The following is a 17,294-nucleotide window of genomic DNA, read 5'->3' on the forward strand; positions in this document are numbered from 1 at the left end:
TAGAGAAGGGGTTTCACCATGTTGGCCAGATGGTCTCGATCTCTTGACCTCATGATCTGCCCGCCTCGGCCTCCCAAAGTGCTGGGATTACAAGCGTGAGCCACCATGCCCGGCCGCAAACACTTTTATACCAATGGAAAACTAGAAGTATCAGAAAATAAATAGACGATGTAAAAAGGAACAAAATGAATATATTAGGACCAAAAAATCCAATAACTGACATACAAAATTCTAAGTAAGCTTTTTATTACAATAAAACTAAAGAGGTAAGAATCTGTTATCGTGAATATAAATCAACAGAAATTATCTAATCTGAACAATAGAGAGAAAGAACGATGAAAAAGTCTTGATTAGAGCCTTAGAGACTTGAGGAACAATAACTAAAGTTCCAACACACATGTCATCTGAGTCTCAGAGGAGAAAAGGAAAAGGAGCGCAGTGCTGAAAGAATTTTGAAAACCTAACAGGAAAAATTACCCAAATTTGGCAAAAGGCAAACACTAATTGAACTAAAAGAAGAAATAACAAATGTACAATTATGTTTAGATAATTCAACACTCCTCTCTCACTAATAATTAGTGAACATTTGAAATTAATTGATGGTAAGTTTGATTAATTCTGAGATTTTTAGCAGTATTGTTTATCACATAGAATTAACAGATTATTTCTGTATAGCAGACAAAAATGCATTCTGAGCCCTATGTAATAGTTCATCACAGAAAATGTTGAGTTAATGCCAGTCAGAATGTCTCTCTTCTTCCAGTACAGGGATTACAAATAATGGCAAGACCTAAGGTCATGTATGCAGTGATGCACTAAGTACCTTAAATAATAGGACATGAGATTGCAAGCACAATGCAGTCACTATGAATGAGAAAATTACGTAAGAGCTCAAGTTCATGTACTGAGGAGGCTTCTGAGAAGCCTTAAAGGATATCTGGCCAATTCAGCTGTTACTGGGTTAGACTATTAATAGTTTTATTGCCTTAACTCTCATCAAAAAAAAGGCTGCTTTGCAGGCTTTTTCTTACTGTGGGCAAGTGATTAACAACACCCCAGCTAGAAAATTCTTCCTGATGTCTGTCCTGTGTCTCTGCTGATCTAACAAGCAAGGGTATACAAGAACTTATCAACTCCATCATCAATTACAAAAAAGATTAAGTTGTCATAATCATAGTATATGATTTAAGGATTTACTAAAATGCAATGGTAGTCAAGCTATCAGAGGATGGAGGAACCTCCGTTTCACCATCTGGTTGTTCCTCTTTGTTCCCTTTAGGTTAGTCTGAGCCAAAAGACCCAACACTAATCACAGTGCTTTGTCCATTGCAGTAGGCATAATTCCTTACAACAACAAATAAAATAATTCCTAAGCATTTATTTCATAAAATAAATGTATTAGATATTTTGGCCTCACAAAAATAAGAGATAGAGTCTACTCAAAACAGTGTTTTGTGTATGATTTTCATAAATTTCAAATTAGAATGTAAAGTTTATCATATCTCTTCCATTTGTTAGGATAGTGTTAGTAATATTTATAAAATCATTTTCTTTCTCCTGTACTTATTTGACATAAAATGCATCATTCTCTGAGAATATAAGATGAAATCATTCCACAGAAGAATTACTTATATTCAGAGTTATTTATGTGTAATAGTACTCCATAAATTCCCTTTGAGGGCCTTGTTCCATTCAGCAAGAAGAATGTCTTGATGGTAGGCAAAATTGTACGTAAGTTAAAAGTATGAAATTTGAATCAAGCTCTGCCATTGAATTGTCACGTGAACCTGGAACAACATAACCTCTCCCTGCCTTAGTTTCTCTATTTATATAATGGTAAGTATAACAAAAGTATACTTCAAGGGCTTTTGCAAGCACTATATGAACCAATAGATCTAACACATTTAGAACGGTAACTTGATATTTTAGGCACCTTGTAAGTTATTGTTATTATCTGCAATTGTATCTACCCAAAAGCTAGAATCCCTCTTCCTGGCCCCCACATTCCTATCACATGTCTATAAATATCTTGTAAATATATTTGTTCATTTTATGCATGCATTTACTTGTATTCTGAACGCCTTTACATGTGCCAGGCATTGTCTAGGTGTTGGAGAAACTAAGACTGACTTGAAGGAGATATTTACTTAAAAGAAATAGCTGTAATGGGTATAATTTGCAGACGGGGAGAACCCTGTGAAAAAGAGAGTAATTAGAAAACTTCATTTTGAATATAAAGAGAAAAAACTTTTCTGAGTTCATAAAAGAATTATTGATATCATCAACAATAAAGAGCATATGCTAATATTTATATTTCCTAACTATTCTACATACCTATATTTATATAGATTTCAGCTAACAACTGGGCCTTGGTTCTACTATGACATTTTGCTAAAAGCATTGATTATATAAGTTTGTGTTATACGCAGTGTTTGCATGAGATAAAACTTTAAGACAAAAAAATCTGCTCCGAAAAGTGCCTTGGTCTTCGTAGCTTATTCAAGACATTTATTTTATATTCTGCAGACTGTGGAACATCTGTTTATTAATGCAGCTTTATGATATGTTGTAAATTGCCTTAACAGAAAATATGAAATTGCACATTCGAGCCCAGATTTTCTTTTCATCCCCTTGTGTTCAGCTTGGCAAAAGGCTGATACTGCCAAAAAAAAGAAAGAAAACTTTGTTCAAAATTGAAGGTAATACTTTCTTAGAGAAATAACTACTAACTAAAGGCAAATACTTGATGAGACTATTTTAATGTATCTATTGTCCTTATTATGTAGGATATAATTTCTTACTTTAACATATGATGATTTTATTTCAAAGCCATTTTGACTGAATGACTTTCAAGGTTATTTTGCAAATCATAATAATTTAAATACTTAAGGAAGCTAGTCAAAAATTTGAAATTAATTGACGGTAAGTTTGATTAATTCTGAGACTTTTAGCTGTATTATTTATCACACAGAAGAGAAGATCATTTCTATATAGCAAACAAAAATGCGTTCTGAGCCATATGTAATAGTCCATCACACAAAATGTTGAGTTAATGCCAGTCAGAATGTCTCTCTTCTTCAAGTACAGGGATAACAAAATAATGGCAAGACCCAAGATCGTGTGCGCGGTGATGCACTAAAATACCTTGAATAATAACAGATGGGGCCGGACGCGGTGGCTCACGCCTGTAATCCCAACACTTTGAGAGGCCGAGACAGGCAGATCATGAAGCCAGGAGATCGAGACCATCCTGGCCAACGTGGTGAAACCCCGTCTCCACTAAAAATACAAAAATTAGCTGGGTGTGGTGGCAGGCGCTTGTAATCCCAGCTACTTGGCAGGCTGAGGCAGGAGGATCGCTTGAACCCAGGAGGCGGAGGTTGCAATGAGCCGAGATCATGCCACTGCAGTCCAGCCTGGGGACAGAGTGAGACTCCGTCTAAAATACTATTACTAATAATAATAATAACACATGAGATTGCAGGCACAATGCAGTCTGTGAATGAGAACATTATGTAAGAGCTCAAGTCCATGTGCTGAGGAAGTCTCTCAGAAGTCTTGAAGGATATCTGGTCAATTCAGCTGTTATTGGGTTAGACTATTAATTGTCTTATTGCCTTAATTCTCATCAAAAAAAGGCTGCTGTGCAGGCTTTTTTACTGTGGGAAAGTGATTAACAACACCCCAGCTAGAAAATTCTTCCCAATGTCTGTCCTGAATCTCTCCTGATCTAACATGGCATATTCTGAGTTCAGCTTCCCTCAATGGAAACAAAGAATTGCTTAAAAGGGAAATTATTCTATGGGTTTTGTTTCCACAACAAAACAGGAGATAATGTGCCCTATTTTGTAAAACAAATCATTTCATTGAAAACTCTCTTTGAAACCTCTACTCAGAGCTATGTTAAGTTGTTTAGTGACCTCAAGCACCAACACATGGACATTTCACCCATTCCCTACCACTAATAATAGCATTAAAATGTCATTTTGTCTTTAAAAGCAAATATATGCTGAAATTAAAGCCACTTCTTTGTAGATCTTCTGACTATAAAATTCTGGCTAAGTTGATTCATTTATTCTCTGCCTCTTTCTTTCCCTCCCTCCCTTAGTTCAAGCTGTATTGCTGAGCCCTACGAAGGTGCTGTCTTGGGCTGCTGAGTTCTCCTGAGCTGCAGCAGGGACGGGCCAGACTCAGGGCAGGTACTGCCGAATGACAGTGAGCCCTGCTTTCTGGGGGCTCCCTGTTTAATTAGGTGAGGCTGACTTTAGTCACATTATCACACCAGGGAACTGAGGCTCTCAGATTGATGGAAAATAGCAGGAGTCTACAGGATGGTTATATAAAGCGGCAGGACTGAAGGGTGAGGGAAGGCTGCCCTGAGACTTAACTGTTGAGCCTTGCAAGACAGGACAAGGACAGGATCAGCATAAAGAGGTGGGTGGAGGGTGGGTAGAGAATTCTAAGCCAAGGTCAACAGAGTAGTTTTTGTGAAGAGAGGAAGCAGGGAGTGAATGAACAACTGAAAGAGGGCCCACAAGACTGGGATGCCAAGCAAGGGAGAGGAACAATGCCTGGCCCCACACTGGAGGGCACAGTGAACCAGGTTCCACTGGCCAAGAGTCACTCGTGTAGGTGTCTCTGAGCTAGGAGATGTGTACTAATTCCTAACAGGCAAGAGTTTAGGCCGGCATTGGCCATCAGAGAGGATGAAAGAAAAAGTTTGTCTTATTTATGGAGCTAGCATAAGAGGAAGCTAGAGCTTTACTAAATGTGAAAATTTAAGTTGATGTATATTCTACATCCTGAACACCCAGTGACAAACTGATGTTCCAATATCCGTTTATACAGTGTGTGTGTTATCATTACACTGGCAAAATGGATGATATGTTTGCCTTATTTCAAATCACTAAGTTTTGTATTATGGTGATATACTCATACTGCTTTCTTATCAACTCAGAAATCCATTATACAAAATCCATTTTTTATGGCCATCTAAATCCTTTATTCAATACCATCAGCCTGGGACATGTTAATATATTTCTGCTAGACATACCACCCAGACTTGAAATGCACAGGACACTAAGCATATAGTGGTAGCAGCATGTTTTCCTTTAATAAAAAGACATTATTTTGGGAGGCAGTTACAAGAAAATTGAGCAGACAATACAGAGAGTTCCTTAAACCCTCCCTAGCTCATCATGCCTATTATTAAGATATCTTGCATTCGTCTGGTATATTTGTTACAATTAATGAGCCAACATTGATACATTATTATTATTAACTAAAATTAACAGTTTCATTAAGGTGCACTGTTTGTGTTGTACATTCTATGGGTTTGGAAAATGTATAAGGTCATATATCCACCATGACATTTTACAGAATGGTTTCACTGCCCTAAAAATCCCCTGTGCTCCACCTATTGATCCCTCCTTCTCCCCGCAAATCTCTGGCAACAACTGTACTTTTCATTGTCTTCATCATTCTGCCTTTTAAAGAATGTCATATAGTTCGGCTTACACAGTATGTAGTCTTTTCAGATCGGCTTCTTTCACTTAGCGATGGGCATTTAAGGTTTTTTTTTTTCCATGTCTTCTCATAGTTAAATAGTGTGTACCTTTTTATCACTTAATAACATTCTATTGTATGAGTGTACCAGAGTTTGTTTATCCATTCACTTACTGAAGTTGCTTCCACCTTTGGGCAATTATGAATAAAACTCCTATAAACATCAATGTATAGATTTTTGTGTTGACCTCAGTTTTCCATGCCTTTGGTTAAATGCCAAGACACAATTACTGGATCTTACAGTGACAGTATACTTAGTTTTGTGAGAAACCACTTCCCTTCTAAAGTGGCTGTATGGGGCTGTATGGGAAATATTTGAATTAACATCCAAATCACACAATCTTTTTGTTACACTTTAAGCATTAAGAGATTTGTTGTCATAGTTACCTTGGGAGTTAATTGCTTCTGAGGAGTTGACAAGGGCTCTCGGTAATGTGGTGCATATTAACACAGGTTATATTAATGAATAAACAATGCATGAACTATGAAATGTAAGACCATGCAGAGTATATTATTAATAAATAAATAATGATTATGTACTACGTATTTACCTTTTGACAGAGAGGTGCACAACAAAAACAAATGTTGATATTCTTGAAAATTTTGAAGTCAAGTCTCAACAATTAAATATAAATTTTGTCTTTCCATGTAAGTGATAGACTAATGAATCTACAGATTTGCAAGTTTATAAGCCGAAGTGAATGAGTGCCTCCTTCTGAAAATTATTATTGGGCTTATGAGTTTATAAGCGCATGCATTTCACCCTGGTTGGCCTAAGCTGGCAATTTCCTCCAAGTGGGCATATTAGGAATACCAAATGTCACGAACAGACTGCAAAGAGAGAGAGGAAGGGAACATTTAGCTTCTGACAGCTGAACACAAGAAAAGGGTCCAACCAAGTTTCCTGGGAAAGCTGGAGGTTACAACCATCAGATGACCAATGCCCAACTTCTCTTGTTTATTTTAATTCTTCTGTTTTAATAGACAATATTTCATTTTGACATTTTAAGGAACATTTCTGTGTCTCTGTTCTGGCCCCTGATGTTACCTTTGGAGACTAGGGGGAAGAGAGAGGGAGTAATTAATATATTTATAAGAACATATTTTTGAATAAGAAGAATATGCATAAGTTAATATTTATTAATATATTTATTAATCAAAATATATTCATAAGAAATTATTTATATTTAAGAATATACTCAATAATACATATGTAAAATATGTTATTCAGGAGTGCATTCTTAATTCACATGTTCTTTGTGCCACATGTGTCCACTGATCTCTGTGGAAGATTCACAAAAATGATATGTAAGGTATCCAAATTGCTGAAAACCACAGACAATGAGAAAAATCTTGAAGGCAGCTAGAGGAAAAATTAAGCATTTACATCAAGCATTTATCAATGAGAAGAATATATTCATCGGAAGAATTGTATTAGTCCGTTCTCACGCTGCTAATAAAGGCATACCCGAGACTGGGTAATTTGTAAAAGGGAGCTTTAATTGACTCACAGTTCAGCATGGCTGGGGAGGCCTCAGGAAACTTAAAATCATGGCAGAAGGGGAAGCAAACATGTCCTCCTTCACATGATGGCAGAAAGGAGAAGTGCTGAGCAAACGGAGAAAAGGCCCTTATAAAACCATCAGTTCTCGTGAGAACTCACTCACCATTATGAGAACAGCAGCATGGAAGTAACCGCCCCCATGATTCAATTACCTCCCACTGGGTCCTTCCCACAACACATGGGGATTATGGGAACCACAAGTTAAGATGAGTGGGGACACAGCCAAATCATATCAAGAATATATTTTAAAAATAAATCATTTTATTCACGAATAAATTCATATAAATATGTTTATCTTTTGCACCATCAGTTTTTCCTTTTTTCTTTTAGCTTCCATCTGTCAAAGCAGAAAGCCAGGTCAGAGATAGACCAGCCATCCCTTCACTTTTGCTGAGACTATGACACAAGAAAATATGTCAACCTTAAATAGCAGAAACAAATTTAACAAAATAGTCATCAGCAAATTGGCCACTCAGCAAAGTGGCTTTGTCAGTGGACCTGGTCGAGAGAGCTAGGACCTGCTGCCACAGAAACTGCCTTGGTCAGGTGAAACAACCCCGAAGCAGAAAGTGTAGGTAGAAAATCAGGACTGAAGCAATTACACATGTTGTCATTGACCTTTCCATCTGCAGGGGATAATGCAGTGAAACCCTGCCACCTTTCCACAGGCTAACTCTCAGCGGAATAAAAAAAAAGTCATGTGCAGGTTGATTTGGGCTAACGAATGATCTTTCATCATTCAACTTTTGATGTTCAAAAGTGTATGTTATTATATTTGTGCACATGTGAAATGAAAGAGAAAGGAGCTTGGACACATGAAAACCAAGGAAAGAAAAACCTAATTTGTTTTACTAATAAAGAGTAACAGAAAAAAGGGTAATACCAATTTCACTTGCTTCTATGTCTCTTTTCTATGCCCTCAGGAAGTACAATTTACCACTTTGGGAAGCTTAGGAGGGAGCATCGCTTAAGACCAGGAGTTCAAGACCAGCCTGGGCATCATATTGATGTCTCTTCTAAAAGCACTACTAATGCAATAAAATGTATTCTCGTTGAAAATTACATCTGCAGACAATAAAACAGGAAAAAAACTGCTGTCTTTTCACACTCAATTGTTTATCTTCTGATCTGATTCATCTTGCCATTGTGTGTTGCATAAAAGTTGTAATAAACTAAAATTTAACATATTGTGGTACATACACACCGTGGAATAGTGGAATACTATGCAACCATAAAAAAGAATGAGATCATGTCCTTTTCAGGAACATGATGAAGCTGGAGGCCATTATCCTTAGCAAACTAACACAGGAACTGAAAACAAAATACCGCATCTTCTCACCTACAAGTGGGAGTTAAACGATGAGAACACATGGATACATAGAGGGCAGTGACACACACTGGGGCCTACCTGAGAGTGGAGGGTGGGAGGAGGGAAAGGGGTACAAAAAATAACTATTGGTTACTAGGCTTAATACCTGAGAGATGACATAATCTGTACAACAAACCTCTATGACACGCGTTTACCTATATAACAAACCTGCCCATGTAACCCAAACTTAAAATAAAAGTTTAATATATAAATATATATATAGTGGCATTTTGGACAGACATTTACATATAGAGATGCATGAATACATAGATCAATAGATGTATGTATTCACGGGTTATTATGAATGCAAATATGCATTTGAAAATAGGGTTTCCAGCACTTTGGGAGGCCGAGGCGGGCAGATCACGAGATCAGGAGATCGAGACCATCCTGGCTAACACAGTGAAACTCTGTATCTATAAAAATACAAAAAAAAAAAAAAATAGCCAGGCATGGTGGTGGGCGCTTGTAGTCCCAGCTACTCAGGAGGCTGAGGTAGGAGAACTGCTTGAACCTGGGAGGCGGAGGTTGCAGTGAGCTGAGATCGCACCACTGCACTCCAGCCTGGGTGACAGAGTGAGACTCCATCTCACAAAAAAAAAAAGGATTTCTGGGCATTTTTGGTTGTCGTTTTGTCTGTTTTGTTTTTATCTATTGACACTAGCAGGAAGGCTTACTTTTTTATAGTAGGTATATATTTCAAACCATAGTCTTAGATCTTATGACATAGTTAAAGGAAACATCATATAAGAGCTCAGAGATGTAAAATAGAGCCATTTATGATGGTTTTGAGAACCTGTAATGATACATCTATGTTAATTTTTTATATGTTAATTTAATTTAGGTTTTCTGCCTTTGGAACTGTGTACAGGTAAGATGCTCTAAGCTACCATATAGCAAAATTTAAATGAAAATTACCATTACACTTATTTAGCTCCAAATAATTTAATAACTATTACTGGGTTGTTACTAGAAAAAAAAAAACAGCTCACTGTAATTGTTAACGAAGTAAAGCAGTCCCAATCAAATCTTGCGTTGCTCTGACACATGTTTTGCTAAAGGAGCGGGAGAGGCGTTTTGTTGTATTTCCAGCTGGCTTCCTGGGGAAACAGAATACATTTGGAGAATGTGTTCCCCTTTGTTAATTGTGACGCGTGTCCAGTGACCCCTGATGAAGAACTCTTAAAGTGACATGGAATGTGTTCAAATTGCTGAAAACCAGAGACAAAGAGAAATCAACACAAAAACTGAAAATCTCTCATTTTTCTCAAAAGAGAAACATCTTGAGGAAGTTAGAGGAAAAAAGACATTATCAAACAAGAAACAAGGTTAAGAATGGGAGCTGACTTCATATCAGAAACCATGCAAGCAAGAAACGAAGTGACACTTTTGAAGTCATAAAAGAATTTTTAAAAACCTATCAACCCAGAATTCTATAACCATTGAAAAATTCTTTAAATATTTGTTAATCACTGTGGTGATTTTGAATTAAGGTGAAGTTGAATTCCCCTCATGTGGCTTGCAAGTTAGTCTTGTTTTTGTGGTTTGGGTTTTTGTTTTTGAGATAAGGTCTTCCTCTGTCATCCAGGCCGAAGTGCATTGGCGCAATCACAGCTCACTGCAACCCCAACAACCGAGACTCAAGTGATCCTCCCACCTCAGCCTCCCACATTGCTGAGACTACAGGTGCACTCCACCACACCTGGCTAATTTTTGTAACTTTTGTAGAGATGGGGTTTCATCATGTTGCCCAGGCTGGTTTTGAACTTCTGGGCTCAAGCAATCTGCCCACCTTGGTCTCTCAAAGTCCTGGAATTACAGACATGAGACACTGTGCCCAGTCTTGCAGGTTGGTCTTAATGACTGACTTTTAAGAAATGGAATACGGAAAAGTAAAAACTGTAATTTTGTAGTGGAGGAAACCATCAAGTCACCAACATAGCCAAGTAATCAAGCTTAACATCAACAATGAAAAGTCATATGGCTACCTCACACCACCGTGACACAATGGGAAGGTCACTTCAACTATGTGAAATTCTTCCTCAAAATTTACAACCCCACTTTAATTAAGAGAAAACATCAGATGAACCCAAATCATTTGATGCACATTCTAAAAAATATCTGGTCAGTGGTCTTCAAAGTGTCAAAGCCAGGAAAGACAGAGAGATTGTCCCTAATTGAAGTAGACTAAGGAGACATGAAGACTAAACACAATATGAGATCCTGGATGGTACCTGGGAACAAAGAGAAGAAATTAGTTAAAAAAAAAAAAAAAAAAAAAAAAAAAACTGGTGAAATGTGGGCCAGGCACGGTGGCTCACTCCTGTAATCCCAGCACTTTGGGAGGCCAAGGCAGGTGGATCACCTAAGGTCAGGAGTCTGAGACCAGCCTGGCCAACGTGGTGAAATCCCGTCTCTACTGAAAATACAAAAATTAGCTGGACGTGGTGTTGGGCACCTGTAATCCCAGCTGCTCGGGTGGCTGAGGAATGAAAATCACTTGAAACCAGGAGGTTGACGTTACAGTGAGCCAAGATCGCACCACTGCACTCCAGCCTAGGCATTAGAGTGAGACTTCCTCTCAAAAATGAAAAACTGGTTAAATATAGCCTGTCATTTAGGTAATAGTATTATACAATGTTAATTTCTCATTTTTAATAAATGTGCCATGGTTACGTAAGAGGTTAACATCAGAAGAAACTAAGTGAAGAGTGTATAGAAACTGTCTTTACCATCTTTGCAACTCTATGTAAATCTAAAATTATTCCAGAGAATGACTTCACAAGGTGGCAGAATAGAATTTCTCCAGCTCCACACCCCCACACGGAAATCCAACTAGCAACTATCCACAGGCAAGAATACCTTTCTGAATATCCCAGAACTCAGGGGTGAGACTGAGACACCCAATTGTACTGCAGAACTAGGAAAAGCTGTGCTTTGAAGGGTAAGAGGAACAGTTCATTTTGAGCATGCCACCCCTCCACCAAGCTGGCACAGCACGACACACAGAGGATTTCACCGGACCCACTATTTCTACAGTGGGAAAAGAAAGTTGGAGGTGGACGTTCAGCTTGCCCACCATTCTAGGACCCTTCACAGGAGGCTCACTCTTGTCTTATACCACAGGAAACATTAGGAGTGCCATCGGGGCTAGACCACCTGGAGTCAGCTAGAAACAAAGAATGGGAGTAGATCTCACAGAGACTAGCATGTAGTTAGTCTGCATTCTGGCTAATGGAGGCATCATATGAGAGAGACTAGCCAACAGCGTTGTACCACAGGAAGTACAGCTGACAGGTGTACCCAGCTCGCATCCCTCGCCAGCTTTCCTACATAGACCTGGTGCTTTCTACAGCATTGCCCAGGCTAGAAGGCAAGTGAACGTCAGCACTTCTCTGCAGAGAGTACATCTGGTCCCCACCCAGCACCAGCAGCTGACCAGGGACTCCACTAAGCTTTGTTTAAGCCTACCTTAGGCCAGGAGACAAGATCAAGTCCGCACATATGTGTGGGGCATAATGGCTTCTAGCCCTGATCAGCCCTGTGTAGCTGAGCAACAACAGAGTCTTTAGTTGACCATAGAGCTCAGCACAGAGGCCTGCTCAAAGGAGAAGTTTGATATACTTTACATGACTTAAATGATTTTAACTTTGTTGAAACTTGTTTAATGAAAGAGTTTTGGTTGCTTTGCATCCTTGCCAGCATACAGCACTGTCAGTTTTTTGGAGTTTAGTCATGCTAATAGTTGTATAGAGGTATCTCATTGTTGTTGTTTTAATTTGCAATTCCTTTTTAAATAATTTCAACTTTTATTTTAGATTCAGGGGGTTCATGTGCAGGTCTGTTACCTGGGTATATTGTGTGATACTGAGGTTTGAGGTATGATTGCTCCCATCACCCAGGTACTGCGCATAGTACCTAATGGTTTTTCAACCCTTCCCTCATCTACTCCCCGCCAGTAGTCCCCAGTGTCAGTTGTTGCCATCTTTATGTCCCTAAGTACCCAGTGTTTAGCTCCCAGTTATAAGTGAAAACATGCAGTAGTTATTTTTCTGTTCCTGTGTTAATTTGCTTAGGATAATGGCCTCCGGCTGCATCCATGTTGCAATTCCTTGATGATCTATGATATTGAGCATCTTTTCGTCTGCTTATTTGCCCTTCGTGTATCTTTAGTGAGGTGTCCAGATTTTGCCCACTTTTTAACTAGTTTTTTTTTCCTATTGTTGTGTTTTCAGTGTTTTTTGTATATGTTGGATATATTGATATATTTTTTGCATATATGTATATGTCGGTGTATTTTAGTGATGTAAAATGAATGGAATCTATAGCCTTAAACATAATATAAATATATAATGGTTAAGATTTCCCACTCAACAATCCAGGCTTGACAGAAAATCATAAAATGTATTTAAATTTAAATGTTTTTTTCTTTGTTGATACTAGTTCTTAGTTTTAACATGCCGAAGAGGGTATATTTGATCAAGGACAAGATTAAATGTTCTGACTGGCTAACTATCAAACCGCTGCCTCCACTTTTTTTTGCAACTTGAAAATATTTAGTTATCATGCTAGCACAGCCATATTAATATATACCCCTTCAAAACTTTAAATATAAGGCTTTAACAGTTTCAGGAAAAAGAAATATTAATGATGCTGAGATTGGTGGCCATGGATTCTGTGTAGTGAGACACTAAAAAGTAATTTTTCAAACAGGAAAGTTAAAGCACTTTAAAATCACAAAGCTATTGGTAATTAAAAAAAGAATTAGTATCAACTTCTGAAATACAAGATTAGAGGGACACCTAAAATTCTGAAAGACTTTAGAGAATTTTTTTAAAAAGTAATTGCAATTTAGATCAAAGTTCCCCACTTTTCATTCCAAGTGTGACACAGGTTTAAATAATAAACAGACAAAAAGTTTAGATAAATTCATGAATTATTGAACCAGACGATAAAAAATAGGGAAGCTATTTAGGGCATAGTCTCTAGTGTGTAAGGGTGACATCCTAAATAATAAATTTATGCTATTGTTGACAATATTGCTAACAAGGCAAAATGGTCAATGTGCTTGACATATTGCCTGGTTTTTCATGTTCTATTGCATGAGCTGATTCTCTCTCTCTTTTTCATTTATATTTTTGAACTCTGTCATTATGTTATCATGGACATTATGTCAACAATTGGATGCATCTATGTAATATGCTTTAAATCTCTGGGAATAAATTTACTGAGTGCTATTTATGTGAACAAACTTCTCTTAAGCACAAATGGAAATCCACAAAGAAAGACAGCCTCTTCTATTTGTTTTATATGAGGCAACGGATACACTGTAGACAAAAAAACCAAGTATAATTAACTTATATTGGTAACTAACTTAATATCTGCATATTACATATTTTTCTATTATGTTTTCTGAGCAACTTCGTGGCTTCTGATTTGGAGGGGTAGGATTTCATAGTTAATAATTTTTTTTTTTTTTTTTTTTTTTTTTTGGTGAGATAGAGTCTAGCTCTTGTTGTCCAGGCTGGAGTGCAATGGTGAAATCTCGGCTCACTGCAACCTCCGCCTCCCAGGTTCAAATGATTCTCCTGACTCAGCCTCCCGAGTAACTGGGATTACAGACACCCACCATCATGCCTGGCTAATTTTTGTATTTTTAGTAGAGATGGGGTTTCACCATATTTGCCAGGCTGGTCTTGAACTCCTGACCTCAGGTGATCCGCCCGCGTTGGCCTCCCAACGTGCTGGGATTACAGGCGTGAGACACTGCGCCCAGCCCATATTTAACACTTCTATAAATATTTGTGCATATTGAAAGGAACATCACTCCCCACACTGCAACTGAACAAAAAAGTGATAATGTTAATTTCTTTATTCTTGAGCTTTTCTTGAATAAAAGAGGGTCGTAGGACATGGAACAAAATAGACTAGAAAATAGGGTTGATAAGGTACTGATTCTGCCAACACTGCTTAATGCTCTCCCCAAGCAATTGTCTTTTAGATATGTTGATTTCCCAGTGTGAATGGTATTTTTTAAATATGTCAAGCAATTAAGAATGTAAGTCTGTTCTCATCTCAGCTAAACGTAGAATCTTTACGAAGAATTTTTGGTATCCTTAACCCTAATATGTGGAGGGATAAGATTAAAAATATTCACCACCTTATTTTTATTTATTTATTTAACTATTATTTTGAGACAGAGCCTCACTCCACCCAGAGTGGAGTGCTGTGGTGTGACCTCGGCTCATTGCAACCTCTGCCTCCCAAGTTCAAGTGATTCTCCTGCCTCAGCCTCTCAAGTAGCTAGAATTATAGGAATTCACCACCATGCCCAACTAATTTTTTTTTTTTTTGGTGAGACAGTCTCACTCTGTTGCCTAGGCTAGAGGGCAGTGGCACCGTTTTGGCTCACTGCAGCCTCTGCCTTCTGGGTTCAAGCAATTCTCCTGCCTCAGCCTCCTGAGTAGCTGGGATTACAGGCACCCGCCACCACACCCGGATAATTTTTTGTATTTTTAGTAGAAACGGGGTTTCGCCATGTTGGCCAGGTTAGTATTGAACTCCTGACCTCAAGTGATCTGCCTGACTCGGCCTCCTAAAGTGCTGGGATTACAGGTGTGAGCTACCACATCCAGCCATCACCTCTTGTAAAGTGCAGTATAGAAACAGTGGGCAATAGACAGGCAGGGGATAGAGGAAAATGTTTTGGGAGTGGGACAATATGAACTTATTGTCATGACAGGACCAAAAAGGGAAGATGTCTGCCTATCATAATTAATAATAACTCTATCAGTCAACATTTATGTTTTACATTTGTTCTGTAAAAGAAAAGCCAGCAAACATTACAGATTCTAGTCCCTAATAACTGATCAAGAAAGACACTCTAAGCTTGTGCATCAGCATTCTCTTTTTATCTAAAAGAAAATATATTAAATAAAGGGAGGAATGGCAGGAGTAAAGAGACTTGAAGGAAAAGAAAATATTGACTTTTTAATGATATTTTACAATGCTAAGATCTTTAGAAACCAACTATTCCATATGTCTTTTAAATATTAGTTTGGTGCAAAGGTAATTACAGTTTTTGTCATATAAGTAATGGCAAAAGCCACAATTACTCTTGCACCGACCTAACTGATACATTCATTCCATTTTGGAGGTATTGCAAATATGCTGAATCAATGAACTTCTTCAGTATTTTTCATTGTATTCGTACAAATTTAACCTAATAGTATTCTTCTGCATGTTATTTCCCTTTGTGCTTCCTTTAATGCAATGAAGCTGTAGTTACCAAATAGAGTGCTCTAAAAGGGCAAGGCTTGTCTGTGAATTGAGCCTAGCATAAAATTGACTCTCAGTGAAGACCTGTTGAACATTTCATGAATGCATCAACATCATAATCCTTCATGTGCTTGTAAGCAATTATTAAAATTTTCTCTGGCCTATTCAGGCCTGTGTTCTTCAAAATTCTTCAAAATATATGGACGTGTCTGCTCTTTCTATTAGGTTTTAACTTCTGGTGTCAGAAACCAGGGCTGTTTTTCTTAATTTGTGTCCTAAAACCACAGTAGGGTTGTATGCACAGTAGGGTTGTGATAATGCTTAATAAATATATAAAAAGATTAATATCCATTCATTTACATTTTCTTAATAAAACCCAATTTCTGGATGAGTAGCTGTGAAACTCAACTGGACGAGCTCTGACTAGTGTTAAGTATAGTATATTGGGAAAAGGGCTTCTGTATGCAACATATATGTGAGGCAAATGAGAAATATTAGCTAGGCTACATTAAATCCCAATGACATGAATAGAAATTTTATTATCCAGGTAGCAAAAATGAAGTCAAAAAAATAAATAAGAGAATGAAGTGAAGGTATGGGGCAAAACAATTAGTTTTTTCTTTAAGTCAATATTTTAGAAGATAGCTTTTGAAGGCCCAATCACACAGATAATTGACACTTCGACTTTTCTTTGCACTGTGTTAGACTTAGGTAAAAGAATGTCTCAGGACTGTACCTTCATGTAGAAAATGTAATTAATAGCAAATTGCATAAAAGTACACTAAAATTTTTACATCATTTTAATAAATTTCTTGAGATTTTACTTTATTGTGTCATTAAAACACAGGATTTAAGGAAGATATATATAATAAAGGAAAATAGTAAGTTATCATTCTTGTGTAAACATGTTTTGTAAATACTATTTCAACAAAGATTTAAAAGTTAATTACAAAGATATAAAGTTATGAAGTATTATATAAACAGGATTCATAATTTTGTTTTAAATGGTCTTTTCATGTATCAAAATACTATCAGTTTAAAACAATCTTTTTTTTTTAAGACAGTAGGCTCTGTTTACCATCATTTACAATTACTTTAATTAGAATTTTCTTCACTTTCAGTATATTCAAGAGCTATTCTGTTGGCAATAATTTTTAAGATAAAGTTTATCCAAATAGAAAAGTAATTATATAATGATTAAGAGCCAGAATGTCTGGGTTCAAATTCCAGTTCTGCTACTTATCAGGTATAAGAATTTGGGCAAATGTCTTAGTTTCTCTGTGCTTCAGTTTCCTGATCTGTAAAACTGGGATAACAAGACTACCTGCCTCAATCTGTGGTTATGAGTAAATGAGTTAATACATAAGAGCAATGCAATAATCCTTGGCATGTGGTATGAGTTCAATAAACATTAGCTATTATTATTATAGTAAATTAGAAATTTAATTCTAGAGAATAAAAAGCTGAACTCAAATATGTAACTATTTATTTGATACAGACATATTTTCTACAAAATAA

General features: G+C 37.2%; 1 long non-coding RNA gene across 2 annotated transcripts in view, besides 1 other annotated feature; it reads right to left on the minus strand.

The window, feature by feature from the left end:
- Positions 1-17,294, minus strand: part of LERFS (lncRNA negative regulator of fibroblast-like synoviocyte migration, SYNCRIP interacting) — a 40,232-nt gene that overhangs the window by 13,177 nt on the left and 9,761 nt on the right. The gene's annotated exons all lie outside the window — the stretch shown is intronic.
- Positions 3,487-4,197: an enhancer, noted in NCBI's record as "OCT4-NANOG-H3K4me1 hESC enhancer chr9:66530343-66531053 (GRCh37/hg19 assembly coordinates)". NCBI's record gives its function as "activates a minimal SCP1, AML or CMV promoter by ChIP-STARR-seq in naive and primed H9 embryonic stem cells {active_cell/tissue: H9 hESC(naive and primed)}" and the evidence as "EXISTENCE:reporter gene assay evidence [ECO:0000049][PMID:30033119]".

The sequence above is a fragment of the Homo sapiens genome, chromosome 9 (genome assembly GCF_000001405.40).
Source record: "Homo sapiens chromosome 9, GRCh38.p14 Primary Assembly".
NCBI classification, from domain to species: domain Eukaryota; kingdom Metazoa; phylum Chordata; class Mammalia; order Primates; family Hominidae; genus Homo; species Homo sapiens.